The 25,727-nt window shown below is 36.7% G+C and overlaps 1 protein-coding gene across 5 annotated transcripts in view; it reads left to right on the forward strand.

Moving 5' to 3' along the window:
- The window catches only part of CDK13 (cyclin dependent kinase 13), a 149,325-nt gene that overhangs the window by 35,702 nt on the left and 87,896 nt on the right, over positions 1-25,727 (forward strand). For all 5 annotated transcript variants that reach the window (XM_017012750.3, XM_017012751.3, NM_003718.5 and 2 more), the window contains exons 2-5: positions 1,642-2,301; positions 11,537-11,707; positions 13,404-13,543; positions 15,904-16,074. In XM_017012750.3, the coding sequence (XP_016868239.1) occupies positions 1,642-2,301; positions 11,537-11,707; positions 13,404-13,543; positions 15,904-16,074 (1,142 nt within the window). The remainder of the gene's footprint in view (positions 1-1,641; positions 2,302-11,536; positions 11,708-13,403; positions 13,544-15,903; positions 16,075-25,727) is intronic.

Genomic DNA, 25,727 nt, shown 5'->3' on the forward strand with positions numbered 1-25,727 from the left:
GAAGAAATAATCCAGCCTTTCTCTGCCTCCTTCTGTCAGTGGCAGAACAGCCCTGGAACTCAGAAGGCATATCTGTTGGGGTCAGCATCATTGGGCACAGAGTAGGGCAGAAAGGTATTGGGAGATAGGGCAGTTGTAGTAAGATAATAAGCAACACAACTACTAATGAGTTCAGGTGTTGACTTCAGGTAACGTAATATTTTACCCAATTTCTTATCTGTTAACTATGCATACTTTACTGGGTTGATGAGGGCATTAAATGAGATAATGTGAAAGTACTATCATAATGTCTTTGTCTTGTGAGTATATTTTAAAAGTCTTGGTAATGCATGGATTTGAAAACCTCAGCTTCCTTTCACTTGGTACTGTGTTAAATTTGTGGGAACTTTGCTTGCCACTATACTTTTAAATATATGTTTTCCAATAATTTTTGAGAAGTGAATGGCCTCATTATTATCAAGTAGTTTCCAAGATTTAGTTTGTCATTGTTTTATAGAGCCAGAAGCCTGAAAACCTAAGTCCTAGTTCAGACTATACTACTATTTGTGGCATAGTTCTTTGTGGGAATTATTTTTACTTTGCCTCTCTGTGCTTTTCCTTTCTAAGAAATTGAGTAATAATACTTAACTAGTAAATGTTTAATATTATGGTAAAATAATAGTTGTCAAGTACTTTGAAGACTTAAATGATATGTATATTAACTTTTTTACTCTCATTCATTTTGAAAAGTATCAGAGCCTCAGATTAAGAGTGATTGGATAGTTTTTACTTTGTTGCATTTTCTGTGTGAAATTATGTAGCTCATAAGCTATTATCTTGTATATGTGTGTTTACGTGAGTAAAGTGATTATGCTTATGTCTATTTTAGTTACTGTGTGTGAATGTAATTTTTTAATTTTTTTGAATGGAGCCCTCCGCCTCCCAGGTTCAAGTAATTCTCCTGCCCTAGCCTCCTGAGTGGCTGGGACTACAGGCGTGTGCCACCATGCCGGGCTAATTTTTATAGTTTTAGTAGAGACGGGGTTTCATTCACTATGTTGGCCAGGCTGGTCTCGAACTCCTGACCTCGTGATCCGCCCGCCTTGGCCTCCCAAAGTGCTGTGATTACAGGCGTGAGACATCACGCCTGGCTGTAAATTTTCTTAAAACTATCTTTCTGAAACGAACTCTAAGAGACTCTACTTATTGCCCAGTAGTAAGTCTTGTCTTTTTCACTCTTGCCATAGACAGAGCACTGCTTACTTCTGAACTTACAGTTGAGGAAGGTACTTTTGAGATGTGGCAACTGTCTCCTGGTAAAAGATTTGTCAGACTTTACCCTGCTGCTACTACTACCATTGATGTAGCCTTATTGCCTACTTCTTTTTTCTGAGACAGCAGTGATGCCTTGTCACATTTTTCGTCCTAATTTTTACATTTGTAGACCAGAGCGAGATCAGGGCAATCCATTTTGAAGAAAACTATGATCACCAAATAATACTCTACTTTAAAGAAATTTTTATTTTTCAAAACTTCAAAAATGTAACTTTGAAATTAAGTAAATTTCTATTTTATTTCATAAACTTGAATTAGCACTGTCTTTGTAAATTCCAAACTGAACCTTTCTCAATTACTGATTAAATCTTAATTATTTCTCACCAGACGGTCTGGAAAATCCCGAAGCAGAAGCCCGTATTCATCTAGGCATTCAAGATCTCGTAGCAGGCACAGATTGTCTAGATCCAGAAGTCGTCATTCTAGTATTTCTCCTAGCACACTAACTCTGAAGAGTAGCCTGGCAGCTGAATTGAACAAGAATAAAAAAGCACGAGCAGCAGAGGCAGCAAGAGCCGCAGAAGCAGCGAAAGCTGCAGAAGCAACTAAGGCTGCTGAGGCTGCTGCCAAGGCTGCAAAAGCTTCAAACACTTCTACACCTACCAAGGGGAACACGGAAACTAGTGCCAGTGCATCACAAACAAACCATGTGAAGGATGTGAAGAAAATTAAAATTGAACATGCACCTTCTCCCTCAAGTGGTGGAACTTTAAAAAATGACAAAGCAAAAACAAAGCCACCTCTTCAGGTAACGAAGGTGGAAAATAATTTGATTGTAGATAAAGCCACCAAGAAAGCAGTCATAGTTGGAAAGGAGAGTAAATCTGCTGCTACAAAGGAGGAATCAGTATCTCTTAAAGAGAAAACCAAACCACTTACACCAAGCATAGGAGCCAAGGAGAAGGAGCAACATGTAGCTTTAGTCACCTCTACATTACCACCGTTACCTTTGCCTCCCATGCTGCCTGAAGATAAAGAAGCTGATAGGTAAGTGCAAAAAGTATTTGTCAATAACTGTTCAAAGAAAAAATGTAAGTCTGAAGTGAGAAATGAGTTGACCTCCCCTAACCCCCTCGAAACAACTTTAGTGAAAAAGACTACAAGTGAATGAATTTTCTTGATTATATGCATCTTAAAATGAAGCACATTGCATACAAGATGGCAAAATTAAAGTTTATACTAAGACATTCAGGGAAAAATTGCCATTGTCTTGGGATACAATGAATATTTCAATATGATTTTGGGTATTAGAAATGCCAGTATTCTCTTTGGTTTAGTTTTCCTTGATGATGTAATCAGAGACAGAATATTTTATGAATAAGTTGGCCCTAGTTAATATACATCTCACAAGCATTTGTCTCATTTATTTCTAAGTTTCTTCAGTGGCCTTGTAAATTTATCACTGTCAGTGATTTTGTTATCACTTTTTAGTTTAGTCTTTTCTTAACTCTTTTAATTAAAAAAAAATTTTTTTAGCCTGTCTTGCAGTTGGGATTAATCACATTATATTATAGAAAACTCATAATGTGGCCAGGCCTGGTGGCTCAAGCCTGTAATCCCAGCACTTTGGGAGGCCGAGGCGGGTGGATCACCTGAGGTCAGGAGTTCAAGACCAGCCTGGCCAACATGGTGAAACCCCGTCTCTACTAAAAATACAAAAAACTTAGCTGGGCGCAGTGGCAGGTGCCTGTAATCCCAGCTACTAGGGAGGCTGAGGCAGGAGAGTCACTTGAACCTGGGAGGTGGAGGTTGCAGTGAGCCGAGATTGCGCCACTGCACTCCAGCCTGGGTGACACAGTAAGACCGTGTCTCACCAAAAAAAAAAAAAAAAAAAAAAAAAGAGAAAATTCATAATGTGATTATGCTTTCCTTTAAGATGTTTAAAAATTTCTATTATGAACAGTGAGGGTATGGCTTATTTTTTATTGAGAAACATATTCTTAAGAGGCAGTAAAAATACAGCTAAGAATGTTTCTTTTTTGTATCCTAGTGTAGAAAAATTAGACTTGTGTGGTTTATCTGCCTGTTACACCACCTAGCTGTTTTTATTTTTATGAAGAAATTAGAGCTTCCACCCCCTCCCACTCCCCATTAAAAAGCAACTATATGAGTAGTTTTCCTAGCTGATTTTTTTTTTTTTAATAGATTTTGAAGTCAGATGGATAAAAATGCCATGTGGACAAGTGCTTACTTTGGCATTATGAAAATTTTATAATTTAACACAAACAAAAGTGAAATAATAATTCTTGAGTTTCATGCCCTTTGAGGTGCCTTTTTAAAAATAATCAAAATGTTGTTGGGAGACCCCATCCAATTTAATCGGGTGTTATTTAATTATACTACTATAATTGTTGTATTTGCAGGTTTGACTGTTCTCAGGGAACGCTGAAGGTTCATAACAGTAGTGATTTGTAATTGTGAGGCTTGAGTGTGGAATTGAATTACTTCATTAGAGAGTAACCAGTTACTGAGAATCCATGTTTCATTGAGACTGGTGTTTCTCTACTTTATCCTTTTTTTTTTTTTTTTGAGACGGAGTCTTGCTCTTTTGCCGAGGCTGGAGTGCAGTGGCGCTCTCTCGGCTCACTGCAAGCTCTGCCTCCTGGGTTCATGCCGTTCTTCTGCCTCAGCCTCCCGAGTAGGTGGGACTACAGGCGCCCGCCACCAAGCCCGGCTAATTTTTTGTATTTTTAGTAGAGACGGGGGGCTTCACCATGTTAGCCAGGATGGTCTCGATCTCCTGACCTCACGATCCACTTGCCTTGGCCTCCCAAAGTGTTGGGATTACAGGCGTGAGCCACTGCGCCCAACCTACTTTATTCTTCATGTATGCTTTAGGAGTAAATTTTTACTAGGTTATTTTCAAGAACTCTTACGTATACATGTGAGTGCTTAATGAGGATATTCCTTATGCATCTGTCTTTAATTAGTTGGTGGCACATTTAATTCTTGTTCATTACTTTTTTTTTTTGATTCACCTTTTCTGTCTCCTCTCCTTTTCCCCCTTTTTGTTGTCTCTTCTTTCTTTGAATGTGTTTGTATGTTTAATGGATACGGAAGTTTCTAAAGATTCATGAGCACTTCTACTACATGTCTGTGTGGCCAAAGATTAACTCATCACCAATGGAACTTTCCTTATTTTGATGTCTATAATTTACCTAAATGTATGTACTAACTACATATGAGGAAGAGACTTGATATTGTTTTACTTTTTATAAAAGTTTTTAGGTGATTAAATAAAAATGTATTGTAAAAAGAAATGGTTAGAAGTGATTACTTTTGGAAATAAATGGGCGCTGAAGGGAATGGATGGCACAGGAGACTTATTTTATATTTACTATTTATAATACTGTTAGAAGTACAATAACATTTGTTAGTGGGCTGTAGTAGAAAGCTTAGTTTTTAGTGCCAGTTGTACCTCTTACTACTCTCATGAGTTAATCTTTCTGTGCCCCAGTCCATAGTTCTATTCATGGGTGAAAATATTTACAGTTTAACCTCACAGATTAGTTGTAAAGATTAAATTAGTTGATGGACTGAATTTTGCAAGCTGTAAAGTGTTATGCATCTCAGTTATTGTAATTAGTCATAGTATAAATCAGCACTGCTGGAAATACTACAGATATTTAAAACTGCTTTAGATTATTGAAAAAAAGTAAAAATTACAAAATATGATTTACATTGTATAATATATAAACCATTATATGTGTAACATGTAGATCCGGTGTGTAACGAATAGACCTAGTGCTTCATTTGAAAAGGATTGGTTTTTGTAAAAGAGGAACTATTGGTTGGTTTTCCATCCCCTTTTATAATGAAGGGGGACCACCCCCAGGCCATTTTTTTCATGTATCTGAAAGTAATGCTCTTGGTAATTTTGTTTACAAGTTTCTTTTTAGTAACCATTGTATACTTTTTGTTTTTTGCTGAACAGCTATTAGTTGAAAGTGGTTTATAAACTATTTCTCTTGAGGTAAAGAAACAATCTTTTCTGTTACAACATACTTTAGGAAACCCGAATATGGGAGGTATCTTTATTTACTTGTTACTCACTGTAAATGTAAAGATCACTTTAAAGAAGAGTGAGTAATGGTCTGCATAATCTCATTGCTGTATCTTAAGGAAAGCTTTTGATCTTTGCTTTCTTTGAGCATGCCTGTATCTATATTCCTGGTTGACTTTCACTGTTGTATCCACAAATACATTAGCAAAAGTGTGTGTGTGTGTGTGTGTGTGTGTGTGTGTGTGTGTGTTTTGGATGGCCTCTTGATTTTGCAAACCTGTACTCCACTTGCTTTTGCTGTTTTATTATATGTCCAAGTAAATTCTCCCCTTCCCTCATAAATTCTTTATTTTTAAAATATTCAAGCACTTAGAAAAATTGAAATAATAATACAATTAGCATCTGTGTAACTACTGGAACTACTGGATGGAAGTTATCCATCTAGATTAACGAAGTGTTAACATTTTGTTTTATATGCTCCATCTCAGCAGGTGTGGTGGCTCACAGTTGTAATCCCAAAGTGTAATAAGCACTTTGGGAAGCCAAGGTGGGCAGATGGCTGAATCCAGGAGTTTGAGAGGAGCCTCGGCAACATGGTGAAACCCCATCTCTTCAAAAAATACAAAAATTAGCCTGCTGTGGTGGTGCAGGCCTGTAGTCCCAGCTACTTGGGAGGCTGAGGTGGGAGCATCACCTGAGCCCAAGAGGTCGAGGATGCAGTGAGCTGTGATTGCACCACTGCACTCCTGCCTGGGTGACAGAGTGAGACCCTGTCTCAAAAAAAGGAAAAAATTATACACACACACACACACACACACACACACACACACGCACACACACACACAAGCACACACGCTCCATCTCTAGTTGTTTAAGAGAACTAATGAGGGTGTGTGTGTGTGTGTGTGTGTGTGTGTGTGTGTGTGTATACACTTCTCCCCGAGATGAAGTCTTGCCCTGTTGCCCAGGCTGGAATGCAGTGGCGCCATCTAGGCTCGCTGCAACCTCCGCCTCCTGGGTTCAAGCAGTTCCCCTGCCTCAGCTTCCGGAGTAGCTGGGGTTACAGGCGCACACCAGCATGCCCAGCTAAATTTTGTATTTTTAGTTGAGATGGGGTTTCACCGTGTTGGCCAGGCTGGTCTCAAACCCCTGACCTTGTGATCCTCCTGCCTCGGCCTCCCAAAATGTTGGGATTACAGGCATGAGCCACCGCTCCCAGCTGTGTATACTTTTCTTTTTACTATACTGTAAATACTTAAGTCATCTCCCAAGAATAAGGTCAGTCTCCTGCTTGATCACAGTATCATTGTGATAACAAGGAAATCAACAGTAGTTAATCTAACAGAAATAAATAATAATATCATCCACTATATATAATCAATAATCAGTACTCCCCCCCTACCCCCTGCCCCCAGCCCTATGACTTTTTGAAGAGTCTAGGCCAGTAATCTTACAGAATGTCTCACCTTTGGATTTATCTGATTATTTCTTCTTGGTATCGTTTAACTTGTTCTTCTCTAACCCCTTTATTTCCCATAATCTGGAAATTACTTGTGCTTTGTTTATATAAAGAATACACAGTTTTTTAGCCAGAATATTTAAGAGGTGATTTTATGTACTTTATGCTGTTGTTACAGGAGGACCAAAATATCAGATTGTTTTACTCTACTAGTAGTGATGTGATCACTTGGTTAAGGTGATGAGCAACGTTAAGGTCTCTCCATATATGAGGGTGCATTTTCCTCTTTGCAATTAGAAGTGAGCTGTAGGGTAATATTTTTGGCAGTGATTGAATATCCTTTTTCCCAACAACCTATCACCTAATGGTTTAGCAACCGTTAATGGTATTTGTCTAATTCAGTTACTGTAGTAGGGACTGCACATGGTGATTTTTTTTTCCATTGCTGCTGCACAAATTAAAAATGGTTATTTTCTAATTCTGCCATTCCTTTTAACATTAGCTGGCCTTGTTTTGTAAATACGTGTTTCCCCATATCCCATTTAATCATTCTACTCTCATGGATTTTTATTTATTTTCTGTGTTACAAATAGTAATAGCCACTACTCTTTTTTACCCTCACATTGTCCGAAATTTGGCCAGTGGAAGCTCCTATAAGCTGACTCCTTTATTCTTTTGACATGACCTCGTTTGTTTTTTTGTGTTTCCTTGCTTTCTAGTTAAAGGTATATGTTAGGTTCACTTTGAATTTTGCTTCATTCTCAAAATTACAGTCTGTTTTCCCACAAAATCATGAGATAGATGGTAATCTGTGTGTTTTCACAGAATGTAGTTGTTTTATTATTATTTTTAAAATTAGAATCATACCATGGATAATGTTTCTTGACTTGCTTTTTCATTTAATATGTTAGAGATCTTTCCATGTTGGTATAGATGGGCCCAATATTCTTATTACAGGAATGGATGTATCGTGTTCTTCTGTTGATTAATGGATACTTAGGTTTATAATTATTCGCTATTAAACTCTCCTTATATATTAATATTTTGTGTATATTTAGGTAATTTTTATAGGATAGTTACATGTCAAAGTATACACATTAAAAATTTGATACAAACTGTCACATTATGTCTTAGTAAGGCTGTGTAACAATTTATGCACCCAGATGTATGAAATTGCCTTAACAGTTTTGGATAGTGTCAATTTTGACAGTCTTTAAAATATGTAATTAATTTTGCATTTTTCTGATAATAAGGTATGGTATTTTCTTGAATGTTTATTGGTTGTTTATTATTTTTCTGGTGAATTGCTTGCTTGTATTCTGTGCTGGATTTTCCTTAAAGTTGTTTCCCTTTTTCGAATTGATGTTTAGTAGATATGTTAGGGATGTTGACCTTTGCTTCTCAGAGTCTGTTGCTTATTTTTGACATTTGTTTTGCTTTTGGTTATATGAATGTTTTCCATTTTTATCTAGTCAAATCTATTATTCTCTTTCCTTTAAAACTTCTAGGTTTATAAAATTTAAAAAGGTTAAGTCAGATCTGATAGAAGTTTGGTTTTGGTTATTGTGTAAAGAAGTGTTCTGATTCTTCACTCCCCCCAACCCAGTGTTGTTACTGGTACCGTTTATTGTATAATTCATCTCACTAATTTCCATATATAAAAATTCTTACATATATCTGTTTCTCTACTTTCTTTTCTTTTAACATATTGTATTTGTCAGTATCTTAACTGTTGTAGTGTCTTTAGATACATTCTATATTGGCTCCCAAACTCAAATTTCTATTTTAGGGGCAGACAGTAATATAAAAATGAAGGGGATGGAGTAAATTAGTGATGCGTAAATGGCTCTGCTGTTGAGCCTCAACATCAATGTTGCTCTACAAGAATTTAAGCTTGTCTTAGAACTTTTGCTTTTTTAAAAGAGGAAGCCTAGAACCTGAATATTATGTAAATCTTTGGATTTAAAATTACAATTCATAGTTCTTTATAAAACATTGGATAGACTGAGTAATATATATCCTTTGACTTCAGCCACCGTTTGGCTTTTAGTTCTGGATCTCTGAATAGGTTGACAGGGCAAATGCCACTTAATTTTTCTTTTTGAGAAACTTCTTGGCAGTTCTTTTGCCGTTATTCTTAGACAAATTTTATAATCAGGTTGTCAAGTTGTATTTAAAAAAAAAAACAACTCTTCCTTGAATTTTTTTTGGAACTCTATTAAATCTAATACAGTCATAATTTGGAGACAGCTTTATAATATTAGTTTCCCATATTAAAACATGGTTTCTTTTCATTCGTTCAGATCTAATTTTATTTCTTCAGTCAAATGTTTTATTTTTTTCTGTTGCTGGTGTGTATTTCTTTTTAAGGCATTTTATTTTTGTTGCTGGGGTGTATAGAAGTGTTTTTAAAAAGCTCATTTTCTATTTTATTATTGCAAATATTCAATAAAAATGTTTTAAATTATGTAACATTGTTCTTGGAAAGTAATATTCGATAATACACTGGACATTTAATATAGATAGTCTTTTAAGTTTTAAATTATAAGTGAAATTAAGACTTTAGTTTTTTGCTCTAAAAAATGTTGATTTGAATCTTCAAATAAGAACTCTTGACTAAAGCCTCATTACAAGTTAGAGACTATAGTTTCCTAAATAAGTTATTCTAAATAGGCCTATTTTCAGTTGGCATTCAGGTGATACCTTTTCTAGAAAGAAGCCTTTACTGTATTTCAGACCTGATTTAGCCACCCTTTAGCTACTTCATTACTCTAGGAATCTGTTTGTGTAACACTTTATCCTACTTCCTACCTGTCTTCCAGACTGTAAGCTCTTTTTGAAAGAAACTATAGCTTAATGTGTTTGTTGTTAAATTTCCAGTGCCTTACAAATACCTAGCACATGGAAGCTCACAACCAATATTTGCTGAATGGAGGGAGAGGCAAATTGAGAAGTGGGCTGTGTAATATATTACTTTAAAAATAAAACTGCAGGCCTGGCATGGTGGCTCACGCCTGTAATCCCAGCTCTCTGGGAGGCCGAGGCAGGTGGATCATCTGAGGTCGGGAGTACAAGACCAGCCTGGCCAACATGGTGAAACCCCATCTCTACTAGAAATACAAAAAAATTAGCCGGGCATGGTGGCACGCACCTGTAGTCCCAGCTACTCAGGAGGCTGAGGCAGGAGAATCGCTTGAACTCGGGAGATGGAGGTTGCACTCCGTCTGGATCATGCCACTGCACTCCAGCCTGGGTGACAAAGCAAGACTGTCTTAAAGAAACAAAACAAAACTACAAACCAATTTGTTTTAAAGCATGTTTTTTCTCTGTTAAAGAACCTTCCAGTGAGTAACACAGGACATAAATTTACTATGATAATTAAGTCGTTTTTATCAGATGGTATTATTAAGTTGTTTTTATCAAGTGGTATTAAAGGATTCATTTGTTTTACAGTATTATTCAACACGAATAGGAGGATAATTACAATTACATTATTTACATTGATAATATCTTCAGTAATTTCTGATCACAGCAGTGTAGTTGCAATAAATTTTTTCATTATGGGACTCAACTGCTATGAAAGTATGTGAAGTCCAAATTTTATTATCATTATGAGATTCTCTTTCAACATGTCACATTATATTAGATGACAGACTTTGTCATATCAGGGAAATTTAAAATAAATTGCCAAGTTAAGATATACTTTAAAACTCAGAGCTCTTTATGCATTCATAAAAAGTACAAAGCTAATGGAGTTTAAATTTCAGCTGTAATTCTAGAAAGCTGGAATCTTAAAAAAATTAGAAGAATAATTGTCCAATTTAGAAAAATTAATTAACCCTGAAAAGGGTCAAAGCTGAATTAGCTGTTGCTTGTGGTTATTTAAATGGGCAAGATAAATATTATCATGTGCTTTCTTTTATTTCTTACGGTAAAATGTTTTGTGTCTCTACCAGAATCAAACTAAATGCTTTGCAGCTGAGCGTTGTGAGGCCAAGGCGGGTGGATCACTTGAGGTTGGGAGTTCAAGACCAGCCTGGCCAACATGGTGAAACCCCGTCTCTATTAAAAATACAAAAATTAGCTGGTTGTGGTGGCGGGCACCTGTAATCCCAGCTATTTGGGAGGCTTGAGACAAGATAATCGCTTGAACCCAGGAGGTGGAGGTTGCAGTGAGCCAGGATCTTGCCACTGCACTCCAGCTTGGGTGACAGTGAGATTCCATCTCAAAAAAAAAAAAAAAGAAAAAAAAAAAGAAAAATGCTTTGCAAAACTGAGTTTTTATGCAAAGCATGTTTAGTTGATTTTCAATTTTAATGTACAGTTTTATAGTTAATTCTGTATCGTTTTAAAAAATAAACTTTATTTTTATAACAGTCTTACATTTATAGAAAAATTATGAAGATACTACAGGGACCCTGAATACCCCGTACCCAGTTTCTTTACTGTTAATATCTTACATCAGTATGGTACATTCGTTAACAATTAATCAATATTGATACAAAGTTATCATTAAAGTTCCTACTTTATACAGATTTCCTTAGTTTTTACCTAATTCTATATCATTTTTACTCCAAATTTTGCATTATACAGTTGAGTATAGTGTATTACTTTAGCTGGAAAGAAACTTGGACAATAGTCTTATAATGTGAAATACTGTTGAATATTCATGACTATTGCTACTTAAATGTAAGTCATAAGCATATTTTTATTAGTCAACAAAATTTTTGTTTTATTTGTCTGACTTCTTTCACTTTCAGCTTACGAGGAAATATTTCAGTAAAAGCAGTTAAAAAAGAAGTAGAAAAGAAACTCCGATGTCTTCTTGCTGATTTACCGCTGCCCCCTGAGCTACCAGGAGGAGATGATCTTTCAAAGAGTCCAGAGGAAAAGAAAACAGCAACACAGTTACATAGTAAAAGGAGGCCTAAGTATGTGCTTGCTTTCTACCTGCTCTTAAATTGACCAGCAGTGATTCTGGGTCATCAGAAGTTCATAAAACACTAAATTAAGGTTTAAAATAAAAAATGTACTTATTCTTTCAACTTAAATATATGAATTCTATTAGAGTTTTGAAAAAAATCATAATTGCTTGCATTCCTATTCACAATGACTAATAAAACCAAATTTAATTTTCTCTCGTAATTTGTAATGTATTAATTTCCTGGGGTATTGTATATGTTAAAGATACTTTCTGTTATTAAGAGATTGAAATAACACAAACACTGAAATTGGGCAGAGTAGAAGTCAGCATTTAGTGAGACCAAATAAAATTAGTAATGGGCAAGCTGCTGTTTCCTTTGCTTTTAGCTCCATTTTCTCCCATAAACAAATATATTCTTCACTTTGCAAGAGATGGAGTAGAAGAAGTTTTGAAATTTGTATCCTAAATTAGCTTCAAGTAAGTGCCTAAAGAGACCTCTTTCCCTTAAAACCTGTTAATCAGTTAAAGGCGGGGAACACTGGTGCCTTTTTTTTTTTTTTTTTAACTTCTTAACCAAGGGACAGTGAAGACTTTAAGTTAGATCTGATTTTAGAATTGCAGTTGAGGTAGTGCCTAGTGTGTGAATTTGAGGTCATTTTCTAAACTGGCCGGGCACAGTGGCTCATGCCTGTAATCCCAGCACTTTGGGAGGCCCAGGTGGGAGAATCACTTGAGTCCAGGAGTTTGATACCAGCCTGAGCAACACAGGGAGACCCCATCTCTACCAAAAAAAAAAAAAAAAAAAAAAAAAAAAAGCCGGGTGTGGTGGTGCATGCCTGTGGTTCCAGCTACTCAGGAGGCTAAGGCAGGAGGATCACCAGAGCCAAAGAGGTCAAGGCTGTAATGAGCTGTGATCGTGTGCCACTGTACTCCAGCCTGGGCGACAAGGCAAGACCCTGTTTCAAAAAAATAAGATAAAATAAAATAGCTAAAAAATACTCTCTTCTTGAGCACTGTAGTTTTATTCTTTTACTTGAATTTCTGTGATTTACTATAATATTAAAATACTACAAAATTATGTATCTTTTTGAAGAATGTAAGATTTTTGTCCTACCTGTCCATTTGTATCTGCTTAAACGTGGCTTCCTGAGAGTTGGTTATATTAATATCTTTTGTACTCTCTTAGACTGAAAAATCTTTTTTTTTTGATGTTTTTCAGATGATTTCATCCAGTCATAAGTCTAAATTTGTCAATAAGTTTTATAGTTAGATTTTTGTTCACATTCTTTATCAAACTCTTGTTTCGTAAAAGTAGATTATATATATTATTGTTAATGGATGCAAAATAAAACTTTCTGGAGATTGGTTAGAGAATTTTGACTCTACTAGTGTTGGTTTCATCTTCTCACTGAAAAATTATATTTTATTTCTGAAAAGCCTTCATACAAGCTCTACTACTTTTTTTCTCAGTTTAAATACTTGTCTACAGAAGAAGAGTCAGTATGTAGAAATGATACCTCAGTTTTTACGATAACTTACAATACCAAATCAGTGTTACTTGTTTGGGATAGATGATGATAAATACTGCAAGGGTAGGGAAAAATAAAGAATATACAATTGGGTGGCGAGTAGATATTGAGTTATTAGACAGTTTATTCAATTTGCTTGATTGTATATAAAAACTTTAGAACTATATTTGATAGAATATGTGGGCCTCGCTATGGTGAAACCAAAGAAAAAGATATTGACTGGGGAAAACGCTGCGTGGATAAATTTGATATCATCGGAATTATTGGAGAAGGTACTTACGGACAAGTTTACAAAGCCAGGGATAAAGACACTGGTAAGAATGCCAAGTTCTGGGGATCTTTGGGCCTACGGAATGTACTTAGTTTGTGTTTCTCTTCTGATGTTTGGCTTCAGAAATTTTCCAAAAAATTAAATTCAATTTTATTGTGCTTTTGTTTCATCTTGTTTTTTTATTCTATATATGCATTTTGTAAGATATGAGTACATGTAAGTGGGTCTGTATATGTGTATATTTTAAAAAGTGTTCCTTTAGTATTTGTGATATACTGTATGGTAGGATTTAGTTTTTCTTTCCTCTTTTATGGTGAATAATTCTTATACTGTTATTAATCAGAGGGAAAGGTATCTTGACCTGAATTAATTTTAGTAGTAAATTTTTTTTGTCATAAGCCTTACACAACACTTTCATTTAGCCTTCAGTTTTTTTTCCTGCAGTAACTATCCTTGGAGGCCAGTTTTAGCAGCTTAATCTTTCAGAACATAATCAGGAATTCAGAGAAAGTTTTAAAAGGCTTCACAGGAGAGCAAAAAGTAGCTGTGTCAGAAGCTATGTATTTTACTTAATAATGCATAGAGCTAGTATTTTATCTTTCTTTACTCATAACTGCTTATTGAAATAAACCAATAGGCCGGGCGTGATTGCTCATGCCTATAATCCTAGCACTTTGGGAGGCTGAGACAGGCAGATCACCTAAGGCCAGGAGTTCGAGACCAGCCTGGCCAACATGAAGAAACCCTGTCTCTACCAAAGACACAAAAGTTAGCCGGGCATAGTGGCACATGCCTGTAAACCCAGCTACTCGGGAGGCTTGAGGCTTGAACCCAGGGAGTGGAGGTTGTAGTGAGCTGAGATCACACCACTGCACTCCAGCCTGAGCGACAGAGCGAGACTCCATCTCAGAAAATAATAAAATAAAAACACAAAAATTAGCCAGGTGTGGTGGTGGGCACCTATAATCCCAGCTACTTGGGAGGCTGAGGCAGGAGAATTGCTTGAACCTTGGAGGTGGAGGTTGCAGTGAGCCGAGATTGGACCACTGCACTCCAGTCAGGGCCACAGAACGAGACTCTGTCTCAAAGAAAGAAACAAATAGATTAAAATAGCACAGCTATTAGAGGCCATATAGTATATGGGAGATGACCTTACGGTTAGAAACTACTGAGGGCAATTACTGCATAGAGTAATAATTGGTGTTTATAATGATGTGTTATCAAAAAGATTAAATGACAACTTTTAAAACTGTTAAGTAAAACGGACTCATACACAATATAGAAGGCATTCCATAAAAATTAATAGAATAAGTTTAATGATTAAAAGAATATGCTTCCTTCTTTTAGAAAATTTGTAAGAACATTTTTTTTCTCCAAGGAAGTGGAATGAACAAACCTTTATTATAGTGAATTTTTTCTTGTAATAGGCTTCGTGTATGTGTGTATATTTCATTTTCTATTTGGATCATTTCTGATACAAAGCTGACTCATACTTAAATTATGTGGCAATTTAGTGTAGTGGGGAAGAACATATATTTTTGAGACAAGTAACTGGATTTTGAATTCCAGTTTTACTGCTAGGTAACTGGCCAGGTTTGGTCAAGTAATATGTCTGAGCGTATTTTTTTCACTGATAGAGTTTTTCTTCTCTGTTCAGAGAAATTTTTATGCATACATAAGCATATTGGCTATATTTGTCTTTCCCTCGTTTACTTAAAAAAAATAAAAATGACAGTGTGATATACCCAGTCTTCAGCATCTTTTTTTTTTTTTTTTGAGACGGAGTCTTGCACTGTTGCCAGGGCTGGAGTGCAGAGTGCAGTGGCGTGTCGTGATCTTGGCTCACTGCAACCTCCACCTCCCGGGTTCAAGTGATTCTCCTGCCTCAAACACCCAGGTAGCTGAGGTTACAGGCGCCCAGCTAATTTTTTGTATTTTTAGTAGAGTTGGGGTTTCACTATGTTGGCCAGGCTGATCTCGAACTCCTGACCTCGTGATCTGCCCTCCTCAGCCTCCCAAAGTGCTGGGATTACAGGTGTGAACTACCACGCCTGGCCTAGCATCTTTCTGTTTTCTTTTTATTTTTTCCCAAGTGAATGTAAAAGCATCTTAGTTTTTTCACTAAATATATAAATGGGGAGCATAGTATATTTGGACTTACCTCATTCTTTCTAATGGTTGTATAGTATTCCCTGGTTTATGTAAATATTCCATAATTTGTTTAATGACAGACTTAATTTTTTGAACTATAAATATTATTTGGTATATTGGAAACTGAAACATACTTTGTGGTTCTATTTTTGAGAAATAAGAACAGAATTGAATTAAAATACATTTAAAGTTAAGAAAAATGTCATCTGCTTTTGTTAACTGGTAACCTGATTTTATTAAATTCCTTAATAGGAGAAATGGTAGCCTTAAAAAAAGTACGTCTGGATAATGAAAAGGAAGGCTTTCCAATTACAGCAATTCGAGAAATTAAAATTCTCCGGCAGCTTACCCATCAGAGTATTATCAATATGAAGGAAATAGTGACTGATAAAGAAGATGCTTTGGATTTCAAGAAGGACAAAGGTATGTGTGCATATTTAAATAACGAATTTTTTGTATTCATGATTGATGTTGCTAACTTGGAAATTTTTTTTATAGATGTGACTATTTGAGTAATTACAAACTATTGCTCTAATCGTGAAACTATATTTTTAAGTTTGGTAGAGTTGAATAATGAATTGATTTACTTTAGTGGTTTTTGAGTAAACTTCGTAAAGGGTATTTGCCAATATTACACATAAAGTATTCACTAGTAATATATGTTTTATTGGGCATCAGTGTATAGTTTTTAGTATTCATTTTTTAGTAGTTGAAAAACCAGTTCATAGTAGTAGTATTTTTACCCTACATTTTTATGTTACAAATGCCTTAACATATAAGGAAACTTTACAGTAGGCATATGTATTATTTCTGAAAGTGTGGAGGCAAAAATCATACTTGAAATTGCCTTTAATAATCTATAGTGGGGTATGTATATATGTATAGTTATTATTTAGCAGAGAAGCTGACAAAAAATTAGCCTGCTTATTAAAGTAGTTATTATAGGGCATATGATGGGTGAAAGCAGTGCTCTACTGTTGGTATGTTTTACATCTTCGTAAGATTTTAGATTTAAATCTTCATAAAATCTTAAATCTTATATTTTAGATGTAAATATAGGATCTTTATATAAATCTTACATTTAAATCTTTATGAGATTTTAGAACCAAAGTTTACTGACTGTATTCTGAGGTTTGCAAACAGCAAAACTTTTTCTCAAACTAAATCTAACATAAAGCAGACACAGTGTCTCACATCTATAAGCCAAACACTTTGGGAGTCCAGGGTGTGAGGATCACTTGAGCCCAGGAGCTCAAGACCAGCCTAGGTAACATAACGAGAGCCCATCTCTACAAAAAAAAAAAAAAAAACAACCAGAAAATTGGCCCTGCTTGGTGGTACATGCCTTTGGTTCCATTTACTCAGGAGGCTGAGGCAGGAGGATCTCTTGAGTGCAGGAGATAGAGGCTTCAGTGAGCTGTGATTGCACCCTGCACTCCAACCTCGGTGACAGAGCAAGACCTTATCTCTAAAAACGAAAAGAAAAAGATTAAAGTAGGTATGTTCTGATTGAACATGGTACTTAGACTCCTGTCTTCCCCAGCTACACACACACACACACACACACACACACACACACACACACACACACACACACACTCTCTCTCTCTCTCTCTCTTACTCTGTTGAGGGACACAATTCAAAATGATTGATAAACTACATGGTAGTTATTTTGCATAAAGGAACTGTTTGAAAGTACAATATGGAGTTCAGAATCATCATTTTAATTGATGTCACTTCTGTTAGTTTTTGTCCCTAGTAAAGCTTTCATTTCTCAGCCTGACTTTTACCCTGGTTTGTCTTTTTAACTTTATTTTTCATTACTACTTATTGTGTGGTTGATGGGGTACTGGTGTGACTTAAATTAGAATGTCTGGGTCTTGAGACTTAGTGTATTAGTGGTGTGGCCTTATTAGCAAGACTTTTAGCCCTTTTGAGTCTGTTATCCCTTCATCCATAAAAGGGAAACATTGTCTTTCATAGTTAGAATTAAGACTTTTAAACATGAAAGTTTGTGCAAATGCTGTTTGTTTTGCATTAACCTCAGGCTCTAGCCAAATCAGTGTATTTGATTTTCCTCCAGCATACCAGGGACGTCCTGCTTTTTTGATCTGTGAGATCACCTCCCTGCCTACTTCTCCAATCCCATCTATGCCATTTTGATTGCCCACCAAGCTTGACAGACACACACATACCCACACACTCATTCACACATGCACGCATGCACAATTTGAAAGGCTAATTTCTCACGCCTGAGGTCTCAGCCTGAATGTTGCTTTATTCATTAGTGAGGCCTTACCTGATCAGTCTTCCCACTTTCTACTACGTATAGACACAGACAATTTAATGTTTCCTAATAAGTGGGAATAATTATAATGGTTTGTTACTTGTTTCTGTACAGATAGCTGGGAACCATACCTGTTTTCTTCACTGTTGTGCCTCCTACCTAGCTCAGTGGCTGGACCATAGAATGTGCTGAATGACTAATTGTTGAATGAATATATGAGCTCTATTTTTTTTAATAATCCTATTTATACTTTAATACTTAAACAGTACTACTTGTGAATATATTAATAGTCTTCCTGGTATTATAATTATGGTCATAATTTATTTTCTTTATCAGGTTATAAATTCCCAGAGCCTTTGTATTTTGCTTTGTTTTTAGTTTTGTTTCTCCTCAGTGCCTAGCGCTGCATTTCAGAAATCATAGATTTTTGTGTTATTTGCACCCTTCATCATCTTTCTTCCTACCATAATCCTGTTTGTAATTCTATGCATCATGATAAATAAGAATGTGTTCTACTATGTGAGAAGTTACATGTAGGTACCTAGAATTACTTAAATGCATTAGAGAATGTGAGAGGTTATAAAATTTAAAACATAATTATTTCTTAAATGAATCTAATAATTTTGATGGGAACTATGATGAAGCAACATGATTTTCCGAAAAGGGAACTAGATTTGAAGTCTAATCCTGAGCATGCTAGCTGTATGACATTACACTAATTGTGATTGCCATGCTGTGTGGTATTAAACTAAATTTGATTGTCTAGTTAGAGCATAAAGACAGTTCAATAACACTGGTTAAATGTTATGGGCTAATCTAAAATGAGTGTATTAGAACATATAAACATTAAAAAGCAAAAGTTAAACAATGTAAATATGCAAATTAGAAACAATACAAAAATCAAGTAAAAATATTAACTTTTAAAAATATAAACATTTGCACTGTTATAACTAACTAAGCTATTAGTTGTGTAAGAGAAACATCATAAATGCCTGGCATAGTGGCTTAAACCTGTAATCCCAGCACTTAGGGAAGGCCGAGGTAGGTGGATCACCCGACTGAGGTCAAGAGTTGTTTGAGACCAGCCTGGCCAACATGGTGAAACCCATCTCAACTAAAAATACAAAAATTAGCCAGGCATGGTGGTGCATGCCTATAGTCCCAGCTACTCAGGAGGCTGAAGCAGGAGAATTGTTTGAACCTGGGAGGTGGAGGTTGCAGTGAGCCGAGATTGCACCATTGCACTCCAGCCTAAGTGACAGAGCGAGACTCTTGTCTCAAAAAAAAAAAAAAGGAAAACATCATAAATATATTTTTTTAAAACTTAGCTTTACTTAAAAATGAGAAAAAGTTAATCACGAAGGTTATTAATTTCAATTAATTATTTAAAGTGAATTTTTTTTTTTTTTTTGAGACCCAAGTCTTGCTCTGTTGCCCAGGCTGGAGTGCAGTGGCATGGTCTCAGCTCATTGCAATCTCTGCCTCTCAGATTCAAGCTATTCTCGTGCCTCAGCCTTCCAAGTAGCCAGCATTACAGGTGTGTGTCACTACACCCATCTAATTTTTAATTTTTATGTTTTTAGTAGAGACAGGGTTTCGCTATGTTGGCCAGGCTGGTCTGGAACTCCTGACCTCAAGTGATCTGCCTGCCTTGGCCGCCCAAAGTGCTTAGATTACAGGCGTGAGCCCCTGTGCCCTGCCAAAAGTGAAATTTTATTGCGTCTTAAAAAAGGAATTATTCTTAAGAAACAGAGGGTTAAGTGGTATCACCAAGTCATGGGTATATTTTTGTGTAGAAACTTGCAGATGCTGAAGAAGATTTTTCTTGTTTTTTGTTTTGTTTTTTCTTTGAGACAGGGTCTCATTCTGTCACCCAAGCTAGCGTGCGGTGGCATGCAATCAGGGCTTACTGCAGCCTTGACCTCAGGCAGTCCTCCTGCCTCAGCCTCCCAAGTAGCTGGGACCACACACGCATGACAGCGTGCCTGGCTAATTTTTTAAAAAGTGATTTGTAGAGATGAGGCTTGTCATGTTCCCCAAGGCCGGCGTCAAACTCCTGGCTCAATTGATCCTCCTGCCTTGGCCTCCCAAAGTGCTGGGACTGGCGTGAGTCATCACACTTGGCCTGAAGAAACTTTTTCTAAACTAATTGGGTGAATGGACAGGGGATAAACTGATTCTGAAATTTCCTCCTAACGCTTTCATCTGCATATAGTTTCATCTCTTTTAATCACTTTGAGGGGAACTTTGAACCTTTTTGTCTGATTTTTAATCTTTTATTGTTAGCAAGGTGGGGTTTTGGGATCAGAGAGAGCCTTTCGTGTTCCTCTAGGTACTCAGTTTCTTCATGTATGGAAGGAGAGTGGGATGCAGTTACTTACATTAGTTTCAGTATTTATGTTCATATTTGACTGTTCAAAAAGTCTTTGAACTGTTGGGTGTTTATACTGCAACAGATTATGGATGGAGATGCATTTGCTGAAAATAAAAGAATTATTTTGCAACATAAGCTTTTCTTTGTTACTTTCTTCCTTTCACTGAGGATTACAAAGTTGTAGAAAAATACTTTCTGAATGAGTAAAATAATATTTAATTAAATATTAAACATTTTAGTGCTGTTTATAATTCTCTGGGTAGGCTGAGTGTGGTGGCTAACACCTGTAATCCCAGCACTTTGGTTGGCTGAGGCGGGCGGATCACCAGAGGTCAGGAGTTCCAGACCAGCCTGGCCAAGAGGCCAGCTGGGTGTGGGGACACACGCCTGTAATCCCAGCTACTATGGAGGCTGAGGCAGGAGAATCGCTTGAACCCGGGAGGCAGAGGTTGCAGTGAGCCGAGATTGCGCCACTGCACTCCAGCCTGGGCGACAGAGTGAGACTGTGTCTCAAATTATCTTGCTAGAGAAGATTTTTATGCTGTATGAAGTAAAAACTCGAGTCATTGATCTTTATTTCAAGATGTAAATATTTCAGTATTCAGATTAAAAAAATTCCTAAACTGAAATGTACCAGTCTCTGCTGGTAAGACCTACACATTAACATTCTTCTTTTTCCTCTTCTGCCCTACCCTCAAAAAGGTACTAACTCTGCATAGTAACAGTACTACACAGAGGGGTAGAATCCTAAAACTATGAATCTGTGACCTTATACCTTAACTGTAAATTTCACATAAAATCTTCCTACTTAACAGTGTTTTGGTACTTAAACTTAACATGGTATCCTGGACACCCAAACATCAGTATTATAATTACTATCCCGTAATTAATTTAGCTATAATACTTGGAATATTAGTGTTTTTATAATGAGGGAATTTGAGCACTCTAGTGTGGAATTTTCCTAAAAATCAAGAAGACAGTATTCTATAGCAAATGCTTGTGGCAACATGTCACTGTTTGGTCCGGGGAAGAAGTCCTCACATGTCACTCCCTGTGTACTCTCTGATTCCCAAACAGTGTTAGGTGCTCCTGTATACTTGAATTGCATGTCATACGTAATTCTGTAATAGTACTTTCATATAACTTGTATTTTTGCTTTGGTTTGTTTTTGTTTTGAGACGGAGTCTCGCTCTGTCACCCAGGCTGGAGTGCAGTGGTATGATCTTGGCTCACTGCGACCTCTGCCTCCCGGGTTCAAGTGATTCTCCTGTCTCAGCCCCTGAATAGCTGGGATTACAGATGTCCGCCACCACACCCAGCTAATTTTTTTCTATTTTTAGTAGAGACGGGGTTTCACCATGTTGGCCAGCCTGGTTTTGAACTCTTGACCTCAAGTGATCCACCCACCTCGGCCTCCCAAAGTGCAAGGATTACAGGCATGAACCACCGCGCCCAGCCATAACTTGTATTTTCATATAACTTGTCATGTTTTCATATCTTATTCTTACTGTATTTCTGAGAGCAGGGACTCAATTTTATTCTTTGTGTTCATTGTGTGCAGCACACAGTTGATTATCATTAAATTTTGAGTAAGTGAATGAATGAAATGGAGAGGTAGGAATGTTCTGTGGAATAGGTGGAATGTTAAAGGTGGGTGCAGTTTGGATAGGTATAGTGGAGGGCATTCTAATTATTAGTGTCATGACTTGTTTTTACAAGACAATGAAAGATCGGCATATCTCCTAAAGAATACCTAGCTTCCAAATTATTTACCTTGTGTTTTTCTAGGTCTGAATTTATATTCCCGCAGTTTAGAACTGCTGATATCTCCTGAGGTTTGAGAAGAAAGCAACATTGATTTGTTCATTCTTTCTTTCCACAAATGTTTATTGTGCTAGTTTCTAGATAGATCTGGGCTGGCCAGTGCAGTAGCCACTAGCCACATGTAGCTATTTAAGTTAATTAGTATTACATAAAATCAAAAGTTTAGTTCTTTAACTGCACTATTCATGTTCCAAGTGCTCTGTAGCTACGTGTAGCTACTGGCTACATTTTGGACAATGAAGTTACAGAACATTTTCATCATCTTAGCATTGAATAATGTCCATCTAAATACTGGGGATATTAAACAAACAAACATCTGGTCCCTGACTCAACCTAGTTTCTGGAACCAGAAGAATCAGCAAACACTGCCAGAACTGAATCAGACTAATACATGAATGACAAACCTGTTTCTGCCTAGAGATTTTTCTTTATTGTTAGTTAATCTGTAATTGTTGGAATTTCAGTTGAAGGTGTTGAGTTTCAAAAGAAGTGAAAAAACTTAAACAGTAACTCACTGTGGAACCTACCCAATAAGTCAGGGAGCTTTGCTAAGGAGTCTGTTCTTAGCAACTGTAAACTATGTATCTTTTTTTCCCCTCCTAAAAAGAGAAATGAACTTGCAGGGTTTTTTTAATTGAAAATAACATGTTCCTGTAACAGTGCGGCTTCCAGCAGCATGTTAAGGCAGGGTTGAAAGTCACTCATAAGTTACTTTATCATGTTATTCATTATGTTATGTAAAAGATAAAACTTACAAAATAGTCTGCGTTCTACATTTTATTTTTATCTGGAATTTTATATCAAATTTACAATTAAGGTATAAGGTCAGGCATTCATAGTTTTAGGATTCTGCCCCTTTGTTGGCATAGTACTGTTACTGTGTAGAGTTAGTACCTTTTTGGGGGTGGGGCAGAAGAGGAGAAAGAAGAATGTTAATGTGTAGGTTTTCTTTACTTGATGATAAAATAAATATTTGTCATATATTTGAAAAACAAAGTGTAAAAGAGAAAATAAGATGACCCAGATAATGTCACTATCATCATTTGTCTATATTTTCCTCTAGTGTCTCTTTTCTCACATCTGTATGATTATTGATTACCAAATGGAAGGTTCTGCTTCTTTTATTGTCTTATTTAATAAAATGCTTTTGTAATGGCATAATGTCACTTGGGTGAAATGTAGCCTGAACTATATTTTATTCCTCCATTTTGCATATTTAAGTTCCTTTAGGCATTTCATTATAGTTCCTTCTATTGAAGTTTTATGCTTGGATATTCTAGCAGGTACCTGCCACTATTCATATGCCTTTAGTTAAAGCAGAGGCTTCATGTGCTAAGAAAAGTCCTAATCAATTCTGAATTACTGGTTTGGTTAGGAATGAAGAATTGAGGACAAAAGTCTTACATAATGAGCAGCTGTTGCATCAATCCTAGCAGTCAGTGGGTCATAGATACTAGAACCAGATTTCCTTCCATTCTGAATGTCCTTAGGGGTAAACATTTCTTTTTTTAACATTTGATTATTTCCTTAAATAGATCAATAGGAATTGAATTGATAGACCGAAGTTTTTAAATTCTGAAACTTCTTGACATATATTACCAAGTTGTTTTCCAGAAAAAAGGTGCCAATTTATACTCCCAAATCCAGGGTACACTCAGCAACCTAGAAGTAGAAGGGAACTGCCTCAACCTGATAAAGGACATCTTATGAAAAACAGGGATATCTGCTTCTACCACCTGTATTCAGCATTGTACTAGAGGTTCTTGCCAGGGCAATTAGTCAAGAAACTGAAATAAAAAGTGTCCAAATGGGAAAGGAAGAAGTAAAACTGTCTTTAGTTTGTGTGTGTGTATATTTATGCATGAGAAAATCCTGTGGAATCCACCAAAACAGTGGACGCCAACCTTTTTGACACCAGGGACTGGTTTCATGCCATTTTTCCACAGACTGTGGGGGAGGTGGGGATGGTTTTGGGGTGATTCAAGCACGTTAGATTTATCGTGTACTTTATTTTTATTATTATCGTAATATAATAAAATAATTAACAACTCACCATAATGTTGAATCACTGGGAGCCCTGAGCTTGTTTTCCTGCAACTAGATGGTCCCATCTCAGGGCAATGGGAGACAGTGACAGATCATCAGGCATCAGATTCTTGTAAGTAGTGTGCAACCTAGATCCCTCACATGCACAGTTCATACTAGAGTTTGTGCTCCTATGAGAATCTGATGCTGCTGCTGATCTGACAGAAGGCGGAGCTCAGGCAGTAATGCGAGCAGTGGGGAGTGACTGTAAATACAGATGGAGGACCAGGCGTGGTGGCTCACACCTGTAATCCCAGCACCTTGGGAGGCCAAGGCAGGCAGATCACTTGAGGTCAGGAATTCCAGACCAGCCTGAACAACATGGGGAAACCCCGTCTCTACTAAAAATACAAAAATTAGCTGGGCATGGTGGCATGCACCTGTAATCCCAGCTACTTGGGATGCATAGGCAGATTTCACTTGAAACTGGGAGACAGAGGTTGTAGTGAGCTGAAATCATGCGTCTGTACTCCAGCCTGGGTGACAGAGGGAGACTCCATCTCAAAACAAAACAAAAAACAGTTGGAACTTCGCTCACCTGCCACTCATCTGCTGTGCGGCCTGGTTCCTAACAGGCCACAGGCCAGTACTAGGATTGGGGACCCCTGCACTAAAAAACTGTTAGAACTAATAAGTAAGTTCAGCAAAGTGGCAGCATAAAAGATGCAGAAATTGATTGTTCTGTATACAAGTAATGAACAAAGTAGAATTAAGAAAACAATTTAAAAAGGCCTTAAAGAGAATAAAACATCTAGAAATAAATTGATAAAAGAAGTGCAAGACATGTATCTTGAATACTAGAAAACATAATTGAAAGAAATTGAAGACAATGAAAAGGCATTCCATGTTCATCGATTAGAAAATTCAGTATTATTAAGATGGCAGTACTTCTCAAAGTGATCTACATATTCAACACAATTCCTATCAAATCTCAGCTGACTTCAGAATCTGACAAGCTGATTCTGAGATTCATATGCAAATTCAAAGGAGCTAGAATAACCAAAAGAATCTTAGAAGAACAAAGTTGGAACCCTCACAATTTTCAATTTTAAATCTTCCTACAGGCTGGGCACGTTTGCTCATGCCCATAATCCCAACCCCTTGGAGGCCGAGGCAGGAGGATCAGTTGAGTCCAGGAGCTTGAGACCATCCTGGGCCACATAGTGAGACCCTGTCTCTATTTTTATAAATTTACATAAATCAAAATCTTCCTACAAAGCTAGAGTGCTCAAGATTGTGTGGTACTGGCATTATGATAAACGTATAGATCAATAATAGAATTGAGAGTCTAGAAATTAATTCCACACATTTTATAAGCTCAACTGATTTTCGACAAGGTGGCAGGATGATTCAGAGGGAAAGAATAGCTTTTCAGCAACTGGTGCTGGGATAACTGGATATCCACACACAGAAGAATTAAGTTGGACCCCTTCATACCTCATACAATAATTAACTTAAAATGGATCAGTGACTTAAATGTAAGCACTAAAACCATAAACCTATTAG

The sequence above is a fragment of the Homo sapiens genome, chromosome 7 (assembly GCF_000001405.40).
Source record: "Homo sapiens chromosome 7, GRCh38.p14 Primary Assembly".
In the NCBI taxonomy this organism is placed as follows: Eukaryota; Metazoa; Chordata; class Mammalia; order Primates; family Hominidae; genus Homo; species Homo sapiens.